General features: G+C 34.4%; 1 long non-coding RNA gene across 1 annotated transcript in view; it reads left to right on the top strand.

Moving 5' to 3' along the window:
* Positions 1-22,922, top strand: part of LINC02262 (long intergenic non-protein coding RNA 2262) — a 46,043-nt gene that overhangs the window by 3,673 nt on the left and 19,448 nt on the right. Inside the window, exon 3 of the long non-coding RNA NR_147151.1 lies at positions 5,729-5,774. This is a non-coding gene — a long non-coding RNA (long intergenic non-protein coding RNA 2262). The remainder of the gene's footprint in view (positions 1-5,728; positions 5,775-22,922) is intronic.

Raw genomic sequence — 22,922 nt, 5'->3', positions numbered from 1 at the left:
TTTTTAATTTAATTTTTTATTTATTTGAGACAGAGTCTCACTCTGTCGCCCAGGCTGGAGTGCAGTGGCACGATATTGGCTCACTGCAACCTCTGCCTCCCAGGTTCCAGTGATTCTCCTGCCTCAGGCTCCGGAGTAGCTGGGAATACAGGTGCATGCCACCATGCCCAGCTAATTTTTGTATTTTTAGTAGAGACGGGGTTTCACCATGTTGGTCAGGTTGGTCTCGAACTCCTGACCTCCTGTGATCCACCCACCTTGGCCTTACAAAGTGCTGGGATTACAGGCGTGAACCACTGCATCCAGCCTAAAATTTTAAACATTTAAGTCAACTGCAACAGGAATTGATGTTAAATTTAATAAGACAATCTCTTTTTAAGCAAAATTTATAGCAGTCACATCACTCAGTGGGATAGGTTTTAATTTGAAATTTAATAATAGGTAATTTCTTTTCTAAAAAGCCTCAAAATTTGCTGCTATTTTATGTTGCTGTAATATTACAAAAAAAAAGAGACTTGTAGCAACGTTTTCTTTTCTTTTTCTATATGGTCTTACATAAGAAAGACATTATAATGTAATCACGAAAGCTTTTAATCATGGAAATCACCAGTACATAATGCTTTTTTATTCAATAAACTCAACTTTTCAAGGATGTGCCAAAAGAATGTAAAACTAATTATTGAATTATAAATTAAAATTTTCCATCTTATGTAAAGAGAGAAATAGAAAGGGCAGCTAATTACTGCTGTCCTATATTGTTATGCATTTGCTAATAGAATTCCATTCTCCTGGAAAGGTCTAAAGATATCAAGGCAGTGCTTGGGTTATGGAAGTGAATTGAAATCCAATATCACTCCATGAGTTACATTTGCAAACTTAGAAAATATAATTTAGAAACATTTTGAAACTTTTAAGAAGGTCTAAGGCAAGTTCAAAGGTATATATTTTCAGGCTTTGATGAACACAATGCATAGTAGAGAACATTTTTAAAGCATCATTTGCAAATAGTAATAATTTTTAATTTTCATGTGTATGTATTAAAATCAGACAGAGTTCATGTGGAAATGCAGTATGCAAGTAATGCCTTTTATACTTATAATCCCTTCCAAATGTCATCATGGGCTCTTATTTTTGTATCCTTGACATGTGGTAGTTCCTCAAGAAAAGGAAGGAGTGAAAAAATAATCCCTCAGTTATGGAAACCATTCCAATAGTTTTGTGTTTATATGATGGACTGATAGTCTGTTACAACCCTGTGGGTTCTTCTTGCCTGCCCCACAGAAAAAGTCAGTACACTGACAAAACAGGTGTTACAGCAGAGAAAAAGTTGAATAATCCCAAGGCCATCTAGCAAGGAGGAAGGGAGATGTCTCTAAAACCTGCCTCCCCAGGAATTTGGAGACTAGGATTTTTAAGGATTGTTTGGCAGGCAGGGGGCTTAGAAATGGGTTCTACTGATTTGGTTGCCTTTTTCACATTTCTTCTCCTATGCCTTATTGTTCAAATAAGACTAATAAATCTCCTCCAAACCATATATCAGCAATTTTTTGCTTTCATTTAACTTATGTCCCTCTTTTGCTAGGATTGACAATCCACTCATCTAAAACCAATAAAAATCCTTCTGACGACCTTTCTGTACTTACATGGGAGATTACTGCCTTATTGAAGATTCTTCTCAATTATTCACTTTCTCCTTTGAAATCTATAAGACATACATATCAATCTTTCCTGTGGCATTTAATTTTCTTTAACTTTTTAATGGTGCTTTCATTTTATTTTGAATTATAGGTGTTTATTAATATTGTATTGACATATATCATAGCCTATTAAAGATAGCAGACTATCGTATTTAAATTAGCATTTATAAAATTTAATGTACTAAGATAATTACCTTTTATTTGTGAATCATGGCAATTACTCTTTTTTACATCTATTATGAAAAAAAATCATACCTTTAAGTACATGCACGTGAAGGAAAAAACAATGGTTTTTATAGTAGAGACACCGTTGTCTCATAATGATTGTAATTTCAGGTTTCACACTCAGAGAATACCTGTAGAACAAAACAGATAGATATAAAACTAAAATTATAAACTTTTTCACCTCTAGCTTTCTCCTATATTTATTCATTTTTGATTTAAATGAATATACTCAAGGTGTTTCAAATCATTTAAATGTAGAAACTATAATATCTGTTGTGTTTTTATCTCCCTGCTCCTTGTATACAATCAGCTATCACCCTTCCTTTATCACAGTTCTAGAATGAATTGTGGGAACTTCATTTTGGGGTTTCTACTGAAATATACACTATGCATTTGAGCAAATACAAAAAGAGAACACCTGCATGGAAGGCTTAGAAAAGATTGTGATTCAAGATAGAAAAATTGGAAGCGTTATCCCTTTTTTCTCACAGATGCAGAATGACACCAGGCCTTATTGTTTGGTAAGTGAAGGATCACCTGAAATTAACCCCTTATTTGCCCTCATCAAGGTATCTTTTTGTGCAGGCCACAACATGAACAACTATACATGGAAGTTTTGTTTAACATGGCCCCTCCCTAATATTATTCCTATCCCTAATATTATTCCTATCTCTAATATTATTCTTTATGCTTACTGTTTTACAGTATTTGTCATTAGCATTGAAATGATTTTCTCTTTGACCCTCTATTAGAGTTATCACTGTAATGCACAGGTTGTTTTCCTTCTTTCATTGTAAGACCTTTGGGTGATGGTCCTCAAGTATCCTTGACAGGCTTAAATTAGTTCTGCTTCATCATTCCTTTTGTTTTATTCTCTGTCTGCTTCCCTTTTTCCTGTATTGCAGTTTATTCTCTTTCATTATTCCATCCTTTATATATTTTAGTACACCCTTTATTGTCAATTTTTTTTTCATTTTCAGATATATAGATTTTTAATTAGATATATAATCCCAATTATATGTTATTATTAAAATTATATATAAATTTATATAAATACTTATAAATATATAATATTTAATTAAACATATTGAGAGAGAGAGAGAAAAGGTCTTGCTCTGTCACCCAGGCTTGAGTTCACTGGTGCAATTATAGCTCTGCAGCTTCGAACTCCTGGGCCTAAGCAACTTTTCTGTGATGACAGACATGAACCACCTTGCCTGGCTCTCTACTTGTTATTAGCAGCTCTGAGACTGTCTAGGGGCCTGTGGCCTGCCTATGTGACTTTCAAGTTCTCTCCATTGAGGGCTTAGTGGGGCATGCATAATGGGTGCCTCATGACTCTCAAGCTGAGAGACTTGTTTTTCTTTCCCAAATTAAGAAGATCTCTGCTTGTCCAATACAGTAGCTTCTGGCAGTATGTGACATTTAAATTAATTTAAATGCATTAAATTAATTAAAGTGTCATTCTTCAGTCACACTGACCTTATTTCAAGTGCTGAAGATATCACAGATATAGAGTATCTCCAGAATTGCAATGTCTATTGGACATTACTGCTGTAGTGCGTAACATACAAAGCCCTCACATGTTTTCACCTACATTTGTTAAAACTCTTGTCATGCAATGTTGTTTTTAAGGCATCTTTTTTAGTGGTGTATTACATATTATTCATGAACTGATGATCCAGCCTTTAAACAATGTTTTTTTGTTTGTTATCCATAGAAGTGAGTTAACTACTTTTTACACTATTTCCCAGTAGAATACATACACAAATTCTTATGATATAATATCAATATAATTTCAGATAAGAGCAAATAACCTCTTTATAATTTGGAAATAATAAAACCTATGAGTTTACTTGTATTTAGAGAGAAGGTAGGGAAGACAGCAGTATGGGTGCAGATGCCTTTAAAAAGTTTTGTTTACCTCTAGCCAATAAAACTTGTGATTCTCTTACTTCTTTGTAAATGTGCTAGATTAGCACAAATTGATATGCCATATATGCCATAGTAAACCCTGCCTCTGACAAATATTTTTGATCATATATGAAGCAGGATTTGGCAAATTTAGAACTATCCTTTGTATACCTACTAATCATTCACAGAAGAGTTTAATATAAATTATTTCATTCTCATAATGTTGTACATAACTGTAATGTTATCCCTGTATGCATATAGAAACTGAGGTTCAAATTGGTTAAGTAATAACATGAAGATCATATATGCAATTAGAATACATCAAACATAGGACTTCTTTGCAAGTCTGAATTGCTTTTTTTGTATTTTAAAAAATATCAATTTTTCAATACCTTTTATCACTTTATTGACTTGTTATTCTTCAATGCAAGAAAATTACACATTTTGAAACATGCTTTCTGTATACCACAGTAATATTTGCAAAATGAGAAAAAAAATCTACTTGATACTTCATTAGCAATAAAGTTACGAGATTCAAATAATCTTTCACCATAAAGTTTAAGTTGATGCGTAAATCATTTATTCATTGCTTTGACAATCAGCTAGACAATAGCTGTTTTCCATGTACTAAGCTAAGGTTTGAACATAAGAAAATAAATGATTTGCTACCACTGACCGTGTAACAGCAGAAACGAGGTGACTGCTTTCAAACTTAAATTCTTTCTCAATAGAGAAAGGACATTTAAATTCTTTCTCAATAGAGAAAGGGCATTTACCTAGAGAGATATAATCAATGGGGTGTTGCAATCAATACTATGACATGAACAGAAGAAGTTTATGCTGAGTGGAAAGTGGCATGCTAAACATGTAGAAAGATTTGCTTTAAGTATCAACAAAGGTACTAGGCTTGAACACCAAATTTTAGATAGATAATAAAGCATATACTGAAGAAAAAAATGCTTGGAATGTTCATAACAGCAATTTTTTTTTTGTAAAAAAGTAAAGATACTAATTAAATTACCTAACAGTGGCTTAAAATAAAGCATTTTGATAGAAGGTGATGGGAAATAACATTAGAGAGATGTGTCAGATAATGAAATTTCCTACATAGGAAGCAAAGGACAACTTCGTTAGCACAGAATCACTGGACATTTTTACATAGGAGAGTGATTTGATAAAATTAATGTTTTACATACATGATTCTAGACCTGAATTTAGCAAGGTTTTGGAAAAGGATACCAGACTAACACCATGAGGATTATGCCTAAGAACTTTGGAAGCTACTGCTTTTATCTAAGAAGTAGCGCAGATGCTAGCAAAGAGAAAAATTCTAGTTGAAAGACATTTAGAGGTATCTTTGGAAGTTTTTAGAGATTGGTTTGATTCAGTTGGGCATTAGTTTCCAGTTTATAAACTTGGAAAATCATTTTAAGATATTTTCAGCCACACATAACAGAGGACTCTACTCAAAGTGGCATATAATAAGGCAAAGGATCATCACACAGAATAATAAGTTCCAAAGTTGTGGTAACAGTGGATTAATTCAGTGACTTAATAGAGTCAAGTGCTCTGGTTCTTTCCAGTTTGTTTTCTGTGCCATTCTCTGTTGCCAGCTTTATTTCTCATTCTAGGTGCCTTCATGGTTATAGCATCTTACATTTCCTGACACAACATTCATAAAAGTAAAGCAGAAGACAGTTTGTCATGTCTTCTTCAGGTCCAAGGGAACTCTTCCCGTACAGCATCCAACAGATTTTTCCTTATGTCCTATTAACAAGAACTGCTTTATTTGCCCAGAGAGGTGAATGGCATCATTGTGACTGGTAGGTTAGTTAAGACCTATCCCCTGCAGGGACTTATGTGAAAGGAAACAATCTTTTTGTCATTTACAGATATAGTATCTGGAAACGTTGAACAGATCACTGATGCTCTTTTCATGTATGTATAGATACACTTATTTATTTATAAATATATATACATTATATTTATATAATATACACATTATATATTTATAAATATAATTGTAAGTATAATCTTATATTTATATAATATATCATATATTTATATTTAATTTATTTTATTAATATATCATATTAATTTATTATATTTATTATATTATATATATAATTTATTATATTAATATATCATATATTTATATTTATATTATAAATATATCATATATTTATGTTATACATATAAATACATAATAAATATATATTTTAAAATATATATATTTTTTGAGACAATGCCTTTCTCTGTTACTCAGGTTGGAATTCAGTAGCATGATCACAACTCAGTACAACCTGGATTTCCCTGGCTCAGGCTATCCTCCCACCTCAGCCTCCTGAATAGTTGTGACTACAGGCATAGTTGTAGAGATGAGGTCTCACTATGTTGCCCAGGCTGGTCTCCAATTCCTGAGCTCAAGTGATCCTTCTGCCTTGGCCTCCCAAAGTGCTGGGATTACAGGCATGAGCCATAGTGTCCAGATTATTTCCATTTGTAAAATATATTTTCTTTTTCGCTTGTTGTTTCTGACAGTGGGGAAGGTAGGTAAATTTGTTTCTTGTTACCCTTTACCTCCACACTCTATATGTTCTTATTTTATATTTCCTATAGCTTTGTCAGATAGTTTTTTTGACCTGAACTTCCACCTCTTTAATTTTAGTTTTACATTAATTTATAAACTCATATTCATGTATTTTTATGCTTTCTGATTTTCTGGGAAAGTGTATAACTCTTCATTTACTTACTCAAACATTTTGCACATATATTTTAAAAGCCTGTGTCTGATAACTGCAGTTTGAAGTTCTGGCTTTATGCTCTCTTGACTTCTGATCATGGTAACTACCCTCGTTGAGTACTTGTTTAGTTAGATTAAGCGATACATAATTAATATAAAAATTTGTCAACATAGTTGGCCTAAAATGTTGTCACATTAGGTTTGCTTCTGTGGACCTTTGACATACAAAAAAACTCACATCATTTAATAGTATTTCAGTGATCCAAATATTTTAAAGTTGGGGTTTAGACCCTTTCAGGATCAGTTGCTTTCAGGTTTACGCTTACACTTAGTTGTATAAAAATACCTTTTGAGGTATCAATTAAAGCCTGGGATATTTAGTGGGAAACTGGTTTTTGAAAATCCTAGAATAATGTTTCAGATTGCTTAGGCTGTAGTTCTCTATCAGGTACTATTTTTTTTTTCAGAGACTATTTGGCATTGTATGGAGACAATTTGGTTGTCACAGTTTGGTAGAGAAAGGGTATAGCTAGTAGTATCTAATAGCTAGAGACCTGGGATGCTGTTAAACATTCTACAACGCACAGGACAGCACTCACAACAAAGAATCATCAAGTGCAAAATTCTAATATTGCCAAGGTTGAAAACCCCTGTCTTAGACCTAGGAGACTGAAAAGTTATTTTCAGCTTTCCAGCTTCTCAGTGGCTTCTTTTTGAATCTGCAGAACCCAGCAGAAAATATCTCCAAATGCCATGCTCACACCTCTAGCTTTCTTTATTTTTTTAGTTCCTGTCCATAAGTCTTTACTGTCTTGCTAAGTCTCCCAGCTTTTAGCCTGATCATCTATTTTTCTTTTAGATTTCCTGATTGACAAGTTCTTCTCAGTGGGAGAACAGCTACTAGACAGGGGCTTTAAGTTCTGCAGGCCCTTGGCATTTAAATATTCCCCTACACATTAAAATGCACCCATTTCCTATATCAAAATAAACTGTTTGCTGTAAAATTTTGAAATCATGTTTAAAATTTTGCTTTTGGAATAATTTGACTGTAGTCATCAAAACTGTATAAAGTAACAAATTATAAAAATGTCAAATGTCATACTTTGTAGACATGTTAAAATTAACAAATTTTGGATCTTTCGTTTTTACTTTGATATTTAGAGGAAAATTTTTCTTCTTTCAAACTTTAAACATTTTTCTCCTATGTTTAGAAAATGATATAAAAACTTTATAATTTCACGGAGTTCTATTATTTTTATGTCCCTATACTAACTGCTATATTTTAAATTTGTCACATAGTAGTACTCTAAAGGAAAATAATATGTCAGTGGCATATGCCCATCACTCAGATATGAAGTAATTTCGGTGCTGTGATTTTAAGACTTGTAACTAAATTTCATTTAACGATCTCACAGCAGCATATATCATTGCCAACATATATTTGACAGAAGTAATTCTCTTATCTTTAAAACACTAATTGTAACAAGCGTGTTTCAATAAGCTCATGATACAAAATATCTCAGGTTAGTCAGTGAATTGACTACCCAATGCATTGTATATTTCAAAGCCTTACCAGGCCCATTCGAAGAAATGGGAATTAAAAAGCTAACGTTAGGGCAAAGAATCCTTAAGTGTTATGTTATCTAAATTAGATATATGTAATTTAGAGGCACCTCATATTTGCTTACTTTTAAACTTGAAAAAATTTTTCTCAATTGTTATCATCAGTTTTCATGGTTAGAAATTCCAAAATATTATAGTTCCATTAATTTGCTTTATTTTTTTTCCAAGATGCTAGGTGCAATTATGTTGCAGACACAATTATTTAAGTGTCAATGCTTGTAACTTCTCCTTCTTGTTCCTATTTTCTTGTCTTTTTAAATCATATTTATATACTGTTCAACATTGCTGAGCCTACACTACATTTTGCCAATAATCTGATTAAACTCTAGAAACTCACATAAGGCTACCAGTCAATAAAATCAGCAGAAACCTGAAAGGTTAACCTTTCATATAAGTATAGCATGTGGATGTCAGTGTGTTCATAGATACCGAGTTGAATAGTGACCTCTGAAAATTCATGTAATGTTCACTCAGAACCTTGTAAGAAGAAGGAAATTTGGACATTGAGGTCCAGACACACAGAGATAGCACAAGGTAATGATGGAGGCAGAGACTGATGTGATGTTTGTCAAGCCAAGGAATGCCAAATACTGTTAACAAGCATCAGAAGTTAGAAGAGTCAATGCAGGCTCCTCTAGAGCCTTCAGAGAGAGTTTGACCTTGTTAACGTCTTGATTTAGAGACTCCAGCCTCCACAATTTTGAGGGAAAACATTTCTGTTATTTTCAGCCATCCAGTTTATGTAATTTATTAGGCCATCCCTAAGAAACTAGCACAGTACTCATCTAGTATTATAAACTGAATATTATGTTATGTTACTGTTTTATATTTCAATTTTATACATAAAATATTATGGCCAATAGAAATTTTGAGAAGTTTCTCACTCAAAGTATAAGCATGTTTATACAAATGCACATCTACACATTTGTACTGATATTTTCTAGTTCTGAAACTCAGTACATTTCATAAGAACTGATTTGATTTGATTTTACCACAGATGGGCATTTTTAATTAATGACAGAATACAGTTTTTTGTTGTGGTTGAAGCAATTCATTTACTTTTACGTTCAACTTCAGAATAATATACCACATATTCAAAAAATGTGTATTTATGGAGCCTTGAAAATGGAATAACAAGAAGTAATAATTCCTTATTTTATTTTATCAGAGACTACATTTAAGCCTCACTGCAAAATAATTTAACCCAGTCTATGCTAAACCAGTTATAATCTTACAGTGAAGCCACTAAATGCAAATCAAACTTCCTGTAGGATTTCTACAACTCTTTGTTGGCAAATTGAATTTGTAATTAAATCCGTTAGTTATTTATTTCAGAGTGACTTATCCATATATTTTTCTAATTAAATATTTATATACTTAAAATTACATATTTGATCACAGTGAAATGATTTGAGACCTTACTGAAATACACATACCAACAAAACTTAAAATTTTGAGCTAATTATTAAAGCCTGAGGCAAATGACATTTGATTTCAAAATGTGGATAGTTACAATCTTTATAGTATAACTTATCTTTCTGCTTGGCCAAATATCATCATATTTTATGAATATACATCATCATAAAATCAAACTATAAGCAACAATTTAATGAAATTGTTAAGTCTTTTTATTTCAGGAAAACAATTTTTTTAGTGAGCAGCTCCTTTAGATAACTATTGTGAGGAACAAAATTCAATCTCCATAGTCTATCTTCTTAATTAAGCACACTGTAGCTACCAAAAGTTTTATATTACCAGGGCACCAATGTGGGCAAGAAATTGCATAAATTTCAGGGTACCTAACAGACAGGCTAAAATAATCAATCAGTCACACAACCTGATCAACATTAGATAATTACCCAGAATGACTATGAAGATAGCTAAAGACAAGAAAGATTCACGTAGTCATTTATAAATTGGCAAACACTTACAGGGTTAAAGGAATTAACATTTCCAAGCAAAATAATCAAATCTGTTTCCTAGGTCATATTAGCGAGATCTATGCACTGATCCTGGTAATATTTTAGAAACTGTCAGCATGACTGAAAGCTCAATGTCAATGAAATATTTTGTTTACTGTTTCACCTCTATTTCTCCTAGAATTTTCTAGTTTTAATGCCTATACTGTTACTTCTAACCCTATAGATTTAAGTGGCACACTAAATGGGAAATAAAAGCAATTGTGTGTTGGTGTTAAGCATTCTCAGCAGGGAGCTGCTTAGTTATTGGGTCATAAAGTTTTACAAAAAAAAACCCCAAAATTTAATGTATTTATTTTTAGTGAAATTAAATTCATTGAAAAATAGTAGGCTAGGTGTGATGGCTCATGCCTGTAATTCCAGCACTTTGGGAGGCTAAAATGGGAGAATCACTTGAGCCCAAGTGTTTGAGATCAGCCTGAGCAACACAGAGAGACTGTCTCTACAGATAATTAAACAAACAAACAAAAAGCCAAGGGGGTCGGCATGTACCTGTGATCTCAGCTACTTGGGAGGCTGAGGCAGGAGGATCATTTGAGCCCAGGAGATCAAGGCTGCTGTGAGCTGTGATCACAAAAAAAAGAAAAATATTAATAAATGGTGTCAATAACTACATATATTTATACAACAGTTTACAGATTATACAGAGTGCTTTAATTCATGTATCGTTGAATTTTCTAAAAATAAACCAAATAGCAAGATTTGAAAAACATTTAAAATTACTGTACCCCTTCCAAACACAAGGCTCAAGTACTAAAGTTTACTTGGTAGGACCTTCATTCTAATAGTCTGCATATTAAAACTAGATCTCCTGAACGTATAGTATAGTATATTACAAATAATTACAAATACATATACACACACACACACACACACAGACACACACTAGCCAATTCAAGTCAGAAAACATACTTTTCTGTAAAAACATGGTCTTATTACAATTTTCAAGTTTCATTTCTTCAAACATTCAAGTTCAGTTCTGTTCTTCATCATCAGCATCTTCCCTAAAAATGGGCATTTAATGAGCACCTAGTATTTGCTAGGCATTTTTATAGCATTTTTTGCGCTTTAGTAGTTATAGTTTCCACTTTATATTTGAGGTGTCTCAGTGAGATTATATTATTTCTCCCAAGTCAAATGAAGGGAAGAGCTATCCCAAATCAATTCAGACGTCTAAGACTAAGACCATGCTTAGTACTATAACTGACGCCCCTCTTAATTACAGCCCTTTTCTCTCTAGTAGGCTGGCCTGCAATGTCTGCTGACCTTGGATTTCTAGGACTCCTAGCTTTATCCTCTTTATTTTTTTCTTTCTTTTTTTTTTATTATACTTTAAGTTCTAGGGTACATGTGCACATTGTGCAGGTTAGTTACATATGTATACATGTGCCATGCTGGTGCGCTGCACCCACTAACTCGTCATCTAGCATTAGGTATATCTCCCAATGCTATCCCTCCCCCCTCCCCCCACCCCACAACAGTCCCCAGAGTGTGATATTCCCCTTCCTGTGTCCATGTGATCTCATTGTTCAATTCCCACCTATGAGTGAGAATATGCAGTGTTTGGTTTTTTGTTCTTGCGATAGTTTACTGAGAATGATGATTTCCAATTTCATCCATGTCTCTACAAAGGACATGAACTCATCATATTTTATGGCTGCATAGTATTCTATGGTGTATATGTGCCACATTTTCTTAATCCAGTCTATCATTGTTGGACATTTGGGTTGGTTCCAAGTCTTTGCTATTGTGAATAATGCCTCAATAAACATACGTGTGCATGTGTCTTTATAGCAGCATGATTTACAGTCCTTTGGGTATATACCCAGTAATGGGATGGCTGTGTCAAATGGTATTTCTAGTTCTAGATCCCTGAGGAATCGCCACACTGACTTCCACAATGGTTGAACTAGTTTACAGTCCCGCCAACAGTGTAAAAGTGTTCCTATTTCTCCACATCCTCTCCAGCACCTGTTGTTTCCTGACTTTTTAATGATTGCCATTCTAACTGGTGTGAGATTGTATCTCATTGCGGTTTTGATTTGCATTTCTCTGATGGCCAGTGATGATGAGCATTTTTTCATGTGTTTTTTGGCTGCATAAATATCCTCTTAAGTTTAAAGACCACTGGGCTCTGTCTGGATTTCCCCTCCAAGTTCCATGCCCTGGAGAGTGGGTCATCTCCTTGTTTCTCATTCTTTGTCTGTCATTGCTTAACACTCAATGCTTTGAGTGCTGTTGTTCCAAATATTTTGTCTTTCTTTGTTTTTGTTTTTAGGCAGCGGTGTATGTGCAGTGCCTATTACTCCATCTTGACAAGAAATGGAAGAACTCACCATTGTCTTTTGATATTTTAAACTGCATTACTTTCATATATTATCTCACTTATTTTTATATTTTAATGGAAATATCTACTCAGCATGATAAAACAGTTTTGTTTTTCTCATATTGCCAGAAGGAATACACAGTTTCTTTAATATGAAAGGCAATTTTATACATCCGCACAAAGAGTAACACTTCATTCATAGTATGCTACACGTATAGGAAGGTTGGTGAATATCTGCAGTTTGTACTTTCGAGTTGATTTTTTTTTTTTTAGTTTTTAATTTTGGGTTATTTTCTCTTTAATTTAACTTCTATGTATTTGTAAACTAAGTGATAATTTTTGACATATATTCAAGACTTAAGTAATATTCCATTAAATCACCCACATAGCTTCCCAACTTTTGATTTATTCTGTGAGAGTTGGCAATTTATACCACAACTGATTCAAATAAATGCACTAAATTAACAATGAAATAAATAAATACCATCAATACAGTTTATTACAGAAGGACAATAAACTCACAACACCTAATACTCTGTCGGCTGACTAGTTGATTTTTTTACTTATGTAAATTTCATCCCAATTTAAGAGATATTTAAAGGGTATATATTTGAATTGAGAAACAATGGTATTATTCCTAAATTGTAGATAGACAAACTGAGATTTCAAGACCTAAAGCATTTTTTTTCACAGCCACAGAGCAAGAAATTGATGAAGACAAGTTTTGAACAGAGATCATACTTTCAATCGAGTGCTTTCACTATACCTTACTGCCTTTTTTAAGAATTTATATATTAAAAATATATTTTAATCTTGTTATTTGATTAAAACCCAATTTGTACAATTCATGATACTGGAAAAATTACAAGGTTTGATAAATTTATTCTGAATAAAATTAAGATATGTAATTTGAATTGCTCAATTAGTTTGGAGTCAATAACTTAAAAGAGACCCTTTATACCATATTAACGAGTACATTTACAGTATTCATAATTCTGATATTTTTATTACTATATATACCATATTTTTATTTATTTATTTTTATTTATTTATTTATTTTGAGACAGAGTCTCGCTCTGTCGCCCAGGCTGGAGTGCAGTGGTGCAATCTTGGCTCACTGCAAGCTCCGCCTCCTGGGTTCACACCATTCCCCTGCCTCAGCCTCCCCAGTAGCTGGGATTACAGGCGCTTGCCACCACGCCCGGCTAATTTTTTTTTTATTTTTAGTAGAGATGGGGTTTCACTGTGTTAGCCAGGATGGTCTCGCTCTTCTGACCTCATGATCCCCCTGTCTCAGCCTCCCAAAGTGCTGGGATTACAGGCGTGAGACACCGCACCTGGCCCTACTTTTCTTTATTTTAAAGTATAATAAAGTAATAGAAAAAAAGATACCTTATAAAATAGAAATCAGTTCAATCTACACTTACCTGAGGTCTATTCTAAATGTCCTCCAATGTTAAAGACAAGGTTATCTTTAGATTATAAACAGATATAGTAATAGTGATATAGACAGCCAACTATATATATATCATATATCATATAATATATAATATATATTAATATTTATATATATTATATATAATATATATTATAATATATATATATATATATTTCAGGAGTATCTTTGTTTCCAGTCATTAATTAATGAGATTTTTCACCTCATTTTACTTTAGCTGTTCTACTGAAAGTTCTATAACTACATTTCAATGAAAATTACAAAATCTGAAAAGTTACATCTTCACCTAACAAACCATTGTTTTCTGTCATCTCAACTTATTTTCATCTTTGTATAAATACATAATTAAAAGTGATTGTGTGATGCCATTCAGTTTATTCCTTTTAAAAATGTAGTTGCTGTATGTCTTGAAAGATATCATGAAAAAATTTGAGTACACAGTAGAAAATGAAAAAACATTTGAAGACAAATTTAAAAGACACATAGAAAATGAAAAGATATCATTTTTAATTTTATTAACTTTAGCAAGTTAGCAATATAATATGCTGCTATACATAGATCACTCATGATTTCCATCTTCTTCTTCTGTATTGGCCCTCCTTCTTTTCCTCTCAAATTAGAGTTCTTTGATATTGACAAAAAAATCCTTTCATACAGCATATTCTTTCCTATACCAAGTGAGCTGGCTATTGAGAGGTAGAAAAAAGATCAAGAGAATGATTGGGGGAAGTAGCCACAAGATGGCCGATTAGAAGCAGCTGTGGTCCACAGCACTAATGAAGAGGAACGAAAGGAGCAAGTACTCCCAGTACTCACATTAGGATTGATCAGGGAAACAACTTGACCCAAAGAGAAAAAAGAAATGCAGGGTGGGACGATGGCCCACCCAGGAGCGACACAGGGCCCGGGGAACCCCCATCCTCAGCCAAGAGATGCAGTGAGTGATTGTGTGACCCCAGGAAACCAAGCTTCTTCCACAGATCTTTGCAACCTGTGGATCAGGAGATCCCCTTGTGAGCCCACGCCATCAGTGTTTTTGGGGTCTTGGCAGAGCAGCTACTCAGGCACACAGAGAGACCCAGAAGCTTTACATACTCCAGCCCCCAGAATCCCGAACAAATGTGTCTGCAACTCAGGCAAGGCAGGAGGTCTGTACATACCCCCAGGATGGGGGCTGAATCCAGGGAGCCAGACAGCATCATCCTGCAGGCCCCAATTCCATGGCATCTCACAAGATAAGACCTGCTGGCTTGGAATTCCAGCCAGCCACCAGCAATAGGGTGGAGGAGCCAGCCTGAGATGAGACAGAGTCCACTAGTGGAGGGTCAGGTCACCATCTCTGCCATTTGGTTGACTCAGCCATTTTAGTCTGAGAGCTTTGGAAACTCTAAAAGGTCTCAACAAGGAAGTCCCACCACCACCCAGCACAGCACAGCTGCTTTGCCAATTCATGGCCAGACTGCTTCTTTAAGTAGGACCCAGATCCATCCCTCCTCACTGGGTCTGACCTCCCAGGTGGGGCCTCCAGCCACCCCTGCCTGTTTTCTATGGACAGAGATCTGATCTCTCCCTTGGAAGGAGACCCTAGAGGGATGGGGGGGTTTCAGCAGAAACCCTAAAAGCCAGAAGTGATTGGGGGCCAATATTCAAAATTCTTAAAGAAAAGAATTTCCAAGCCAGAATTTTATATCAAGCCAAACTAAGCTTCATAAACAAAGAAGAAATAAGATCCTTTTCAGACAAGCAAATGCTGAGGGAATTCATTACCACCAGACCTGCCTTACAAGAGCCCTGAAGACAGCACTCAACAAGGAAAGGAAAAACCATTACTAGCCACTATAAAGCCACATTGAAGTTACACAGACCAGTGACACTGTGAAACAACCGCATACTCAAGTCTGCAAAATAACTAGCTAGCATCATGATGACAAGATTAAATCCACATATAGCAATGCTAATCTTAAACGTAAATGGGCTAAATGTCCCAATTAAAAGACACAGAATGACAGGCTGGATAAAGAAGCAAGACCCATCAGTATGCTGTTTTCAAAAGTCCCATCTCACAGGCAAAGACACTCACAGGCTCAAAATAAAAGGATGGAGGACAATCTAGCAAACAAATGAAAAACAGAAAAAAAGCATGGGTTGGAATCCTAGTTTCTGACAAAACAGACTTTAAACCAGCAAACATTAAAAAAGACAAAGAAGGGCATTACATAATGGTAAAGGGTTCAATTCAACAAGGAGAGCTAATTATCCCAAATATATAGGCACATAATAAAAGAGTACCTATATTTATAAAGCAAGTTTTTAGAGATCTACAAAGAGACTTAGACTCCCACACAATAATAGTGGGAGACTTTAACATTCCACTGACAATATTAGACAGATCATTGAGATAGAAAATTAATAAAGATATTCAGGACCTGAACTCAGCTCTGGATCAAGAGAACCTGATGGATATCTACACAACTCTCCAAACAAAAATAACAGAATATACATTTTTCTCATCACCACATGGCACTCACTGTAAAATTGATCACATAATAAGAAGTAAAACACTCCTCAGAAACATGCGAAAGAAGTGAAATCATAAACAGTCTCTCAGATCAGAATGCAATCAAATTAGAACTCACCCAAAACCATTCCACTACAGGGAAATTGCACAACCTGCTTCTGAATGACTTTTGGGTAAACAATGAAATTAAGGCAGAAATCAAGAAGTTCTTTGAAACTAATGAGAACAAAGATACAATGTACTAGAATCCCCATAACACAGCTGAAGCAGTGCTAAGAGGAAAATTTATAGCACTGAATGCCCACATCAAAATGCCAGAACAATTTCAAGTTGAAAGCCTAACATCACAACTAAAAGAACTAGAAAAAAAAAGAAAAAAAAAAAAAAAAAAGCTAGCACAAGACAAGAAATACCTAAGATCAGAGCTGAACTGAAGAGGATAGAGATAGGAAAAAGGCCTTCAAAAATTCAAACGGTAAAGGAGCTGATTTTTGAAAAAAATAAAATAAAATAGTTAGACTGCTAGTTAGACTAATAAAGAAGAAAAGAGAGAAGACTCAAATAAACACAGTCAGAAAGAAAGGGCATATCACCCCACAGAAATACAAACAACCATCAGAGAATACTACAAACACCTCTATAAACTATACAATCTAAAATAAATGGATAAATTGCTGGACACATATACCCTACCAAGATTGAACCAGAAAGAAATTGAATCCCTGAATAGACCAATAATGAGTTCTGAAATTGAGGCACTAATAGCTTACCAACCAAAAGAAAAAAATAAGTCCTAGAGGAGGTACAAAGAAGAGCTGGTATCATTCATACCATAACTATTCCAAAAAGTTGAAAAGAAGGGACTCCTCCCTAACTCATTTTATGAGGCCTGCATCACTCTGATACAAAAACCTCCAGAGATACAACAAAAAAACAAACTTCAGGACAATATCCTTGATAAACATTGATGCAAAAATCCTTGACAAAATACTGGCAAACTGAATCCAGCAACACATCAAAAATCATATCCACCACAATCAAGTAGGCTTTATCCCCAGGATGCAAGGTCAGTTCAATATTTGCAAACCAATCAATGTGATTCATCATATATGCAAACCAATCAATGTGATTCATCACAAAAACAGAACTAAAGACAAAAACCATATGATTATCTCAATAGATGCAGAAAAGGCCTTCATTAAAATTCAACATCTCTTCATTTTAAAAACTCTGAATAAACTAGGTATTAAAGGAACATATATCAAAATAATAACAGTCATATATGACAAACCCACAGCCAATATCATACTGGCAGCATTTCCCTGAAAACTGGCAAAAGATGAGGATGCCCTCTCTCACAACTCCTATTCACCACAGTATTGGAAGCTCTAGCCAGGGAATTCAGGCAAGAGAAAGAAATAAAGTGTATTCAAATAGGAAGAGAGGTAGTCAAACTATCTTTGTTTGCAGATGACATGATTTTATATCTAGAAAACACCGTCATTTCAGCCCCAAAACTTCTTAAGCTGATAATCAACTTCAGTAAAATATCAGGATTCAAAATCAGTGTGCAAACATTGTTAGCATTCCTGTACACCAACAAGAGTCAAGTTGAGAGTCAAATCACAAATGAACTCCCAATCACAATCATCACAAACAGAATAAAACACATAGGAATACAGCTAACAAAGGATGTGAAATATCTCTACAAGGTAACTACAAAGCTCTGCTCAGAGGAGTCAGGGATGACAAAAGTAAACACAAAAAAGTTCACGTTCATGAATAGGAAGAATCAATATTGTGAAAATGGCCATACTGCCTGAAGTAATTTATAGATTCAGTGCTGTTCCTGTTAAACTACCATTGACATTCCTCATAGAATTAGAAAAAACTGTTTTATAATACCTATGAAAACAAAAAAAGAGCCCAAATAGCCAAGGCTATTCTAAGCAAAAAGAACGAAGCTGAAGGCATCATGCTATCTGAATTCAAACTATACTACAGGGCTACAGTAATCAAAACAGCATGATACTGGTACAAGAACAGACACACAGATCAATGGAACAGAATAGAGAACGCAGAAATAAGACTACACACTGACAACCATCTGATCTTTGACAAATCTGACAAAAACAAGCAATGGGGAAAAGATTCCCTGTTTAATAAATGGTACAGAAAGAACTGCCTAGCTATATGCAGAAAATTGAAACAGGACCCATTCCTTACAACTTATACAGAAATTAACTCAATATGGTTTAAAGACTTCAATGTAAAACCCAAAACTATAAAAACCCTATAAGAAAACAAAGGCAATTCTATTCAGGATATAGGCACAGGCAAAGATTTCATGACGAAGATGCCAAAAGCAATTGGAACAAAAGCAAAAATTGACAAATGGGATTTAATTAAACAAAAGAGTTTCTGCACAGCAAAAGAAACTATCAACAGAGGAAACAGACAATGTAAAGAGCGGAAGAAAATTTTTGCACTCTATCCACCTGATAAAGGTCTAATATCCAGCATCTACATGAAGCTTAAACAATTTACAAGAAAAAAACCACCAAACAACCACATTAAAAAGTGGGCAAAGGACATGAACAGACACTTCTCAAAAGAGGACATACATGTGGCCAGCAAATACATGAAGAAAAGCTCAACATCACTGATTATTAGTGAAATGCAAATCAAAACCATAATCAGATACCATCTAACACCAGTTAGAATGGCTATTACTAAAAAGTCAAAAAAAATAATAGCAGATGATGGTGAGGTTGCCGAGAAAAGGGAATACTTATGCACTATTGGTGGGAGTGTAAATTAGCTCAACCATTGTAGAAGACAGTGTGGCCATTCCTCAAAGACCTAGAGGCAGAAATACGATTCGACCCAGCAATCCCAATTACTGGATATATAACCAAAGGAATATAAATCTTTTTATTATAAAGATACATGCATGTGTATATTTATTGCAGCACTCTTCACAATTGCAAAGAGATGGAATCAACCTAAATGCCCATCAAATGATAGACTGGATAAAGGAAATGTGGTACATATACATACTATGCAGCCATAAAAAGGAACAAAATCATGTCCTTTGCAAGGTCATGGAAGCCATTATTATCAGCAAATTAATGCAGGAAAAGAAAACCAAATGCTGCATGCTCTCTCTTATAAGTGGGAGCTGAATTATGAGAACACATGCACACATGATGGGGGTGGAGAACACACACTGGGGCATTTTTTAAGGTGAAGGGTAGAACACTTTTTAGAAGGGAGAGCATAAGAAAGAATAGCTAATGGATGCTGGGCTTAATACCTGGGTGATGAGATGATCCGTGCAGCAAACCATCATGACACACATTTATCTATGTAACAACACTGCACATTCTGCACATGTACTCCTGAACCTAAAATAAAAGTTGGAAATTAAAAAAAGAGAGAGAATGATTCAGAGATAAAAAGCAGAAATGAAAATCACTTTTCAATTCAACCTGAGAGAATACTTTAGTACAGTATTAAGAATACCTTAATACATTTAAACATTTATTGCACAATTAATGCAGTAGATAGTTCTTGGAGTACCACACTGAACTTTTCCCTATTCTGAAGAGTGTTCATCTCTTGTCAATCTATTTATTCTTCTCTGACAGATAGTAGCTTTACAATGCCAGCAGAATTAGCTGAATAGCAGAAACAATAAATGAATAATCAGACAATTTTCTTCCATTCTTTTACTACTAAAGTCATTTGAAATGTATGATCCTATTCTGTTTTCTGTTATTACAAATTTCTACTTAAATGTGTGTCATTTGACTTTAGTAGTAAAAGAATGGAAGAAAATGATGCTTCAATTTTTCTGGTGGTGCACATGTTCTCTTTCTTATAAGGCTTTATTATGTTTCCTACCCATAAATTCAAAATATACATCGGCATACCTACAATACTTTACTTAAGTTCACAATCTCTTCTGCCATTTTCTTTTTCCATCATAGGCTTTAGGCCTGCTTTCTTCCTTTATTGTTAATTGATGAAACGCCATGGCTTACCCTTGAGAATAATAGCAAAAAATAGTGTCAGAAGGAGAATATCTTGCCTTTTCCCTTACAGTTACATGAATTGCAAGCAAACACAATTCAAATTCATAAAATTAGAGCTAATAAAATGTTAAATAGGGAACATTGCCAAAATACAAATCTTGGAGTCTTATCAAATATGCAAGCTTGTATAAAAAATGTATGATACTGTTCTGTTTTCTGCTATTGCAAAGTTCTACTTAAAAGTATTATTTAAACTAAGAAATTATTTAAGATGCCTAAATTTCAGACATTGAGATATGCTCTGTTGTTAAACAACTCATAACTTTGAATTATTCAAAATTCTGTAATTACACTTGTTGCTTAATGTAATAGATTTCATTGACTACTTTGCATTCCTGTGAAGCATGGGTACCTGTAGAATTTCTTGGCCAGAGAAGAAAAGGAGATTTGACCCCCTTCTTCCTCCATAAAGGCACAATAAAATTATAAACCAAATTGCTTCTTTATCCAAATAAAGAGCTTGAGAGCTTTGTCTCATTTAAGTAATTTGGTCTAAATTCACATGATCATAGGATAATAGGTAAGAAAATAGTTTCTTTTTTATTATTATGGCAAGAAAAATTCTATATTAATACATATCCAGTTGCATAAAAATGACTGTTAAAAATTAGCAAATTTACTTTTTAAAAAATGTTTTGAGAACTCTAAGTTCTGTTGTATCCATAGCTATGCCCACATGTATTATACTCTTAAGTAATTAATACACTGCACCTGAAAGTCACATCTTTCTTTTGAAATGAACAAAATATCAACATGTTATTTGTTAGGTATTTGAATATCTAGTTATAATATTTAAACTTCTGGAATAATAACCAGGTTAACATTTTCATTTGGGGGTATTGAAAGAAGTGATACAAGATACAAACTCAAGATACAAATTTCAAATAAGATTGTCAAATGCTGGAAAATGTGTTACATAATTTATGGATATAATTGTCTTTTATATTTTTAATTATTATAGTAATTTTGTGAGTAACTTCACAGAGAAGACATTTAAAATACAGGAATTAATAACTTTTTCCTCATCGCACCATTAAACCCTACTAGTAAATTCAGATTGAGGGTGCATTGTATCATATACAATTTCTTTCCTTCTTCTGCTGAGTAAAATTATTAACCACATTTTTCTATTATTTTCTCCAGTAATAGTGATTGCCTTTTCTAACTCCTAGGTTCCAGGCAATAATTTGAGTTTAATAATTCTGTTCAATCCCTCAGCAAGAAAGAGGCTTACAAAATTACTAGTATCATAGTGTTAACTTTCTGGGGATCCTGTCTATCCTGTCAATCAATATCAGCCTTTAGTCACCAAACCCAAGGGCCGAGGTAATATTTTTTTTTTATCAGGCAAGTTCAAAATTGTGGGAGGTAAGGTAACCCAGTCTTTCTTCTCATTTCCTACTTCTGCATTAGCTCTGACTTTCGCATTTTCACTTTCTATCTATCCACATCTGTTCTTACTGTGCTTTCCTTTTTTTTTTTTTCATTCTAAATTTTTTTCCATAATACTGCACCATTCAGTCAACAGTTTCATTTGTGTTTGAGGAGCTGCTTTACAAGGCATGGAAACTGCCTTACAATCATCTTTATTTTTTATTTTTTGAGATGGAGTCTCATTCGGTCACCCAGACTGGAGTGCAGTGGCGTGACCTCGGCTCACTGCAACCTCTGCCTCCCAGTGATTTCTCTTGCCTCAGCTTCCGAAGTAGCTGGGATTACAGGTGTGCACCATGCTTGGCTAATATTTTTTGCATTTTTAGTAGAGACAAGGTTTCACCATGCTGACCAGGCTGTTCTCAATCTCCTGGCCTCATGTGATCCATCTGCCTCGGCCTCCCAAAGTGCTGAGATGACAGGTGTGAACCACTGTGTCCAACCTACAATCAATCATACTACCTCCTGTGTTGCTGGTGGTCTCTTATGAGCATAAAGGTTGTCTTAGAGTTGGTCCACTCTGACATTTGTAAAAATCTCCTGAAATGGTATAGGTTTTAGAGTAAGTCAGTTATTGACTCCAATCAAAGCCCACTTATATCTATGTGCTCCTGAGTAACTCAGTCAACTCTCTGGACCCCATTTGCTACATCTGTAAGATAAGTATAACTGTATTCTATAAATCATTTTATAATGTGAGCTATATAACTATGTGAACCATATTTTGATATGTGAACATATTGAAATAAAGAATTGGGGCTGGACGCGGTGGCTCACTCTTGTAATCCCAGCAATTTGGGAGGCTGAGGCGGGCGGATCATTAAGTCAGGAGATCGAGACCATCCTGGCTAACACGGTGAAACCCCGTCTCTACTAAAAACACAAAAAACTAGCCGGGCATGGTGGCGGG

The sequence above is a fragment of the Homo sapiens genome, chromosome 4 (genome assembly GCF_000001405.40).
Source record: "Homo sapiens chromosome 4, GRCh38.p14 Primary Assembly".
In the NCBI taxonomy this organism is placed as follows: Eukaryota; Metazoa; Chordata; class Mammalia; order Primates; family Hominidae; genus Homo; species Homo sapiens.
The sequence above is the reverse complement of the archived record's forward strand: the minus strand, read 5'-3'. Positions and strand labels throughout refer to the sequence as shown.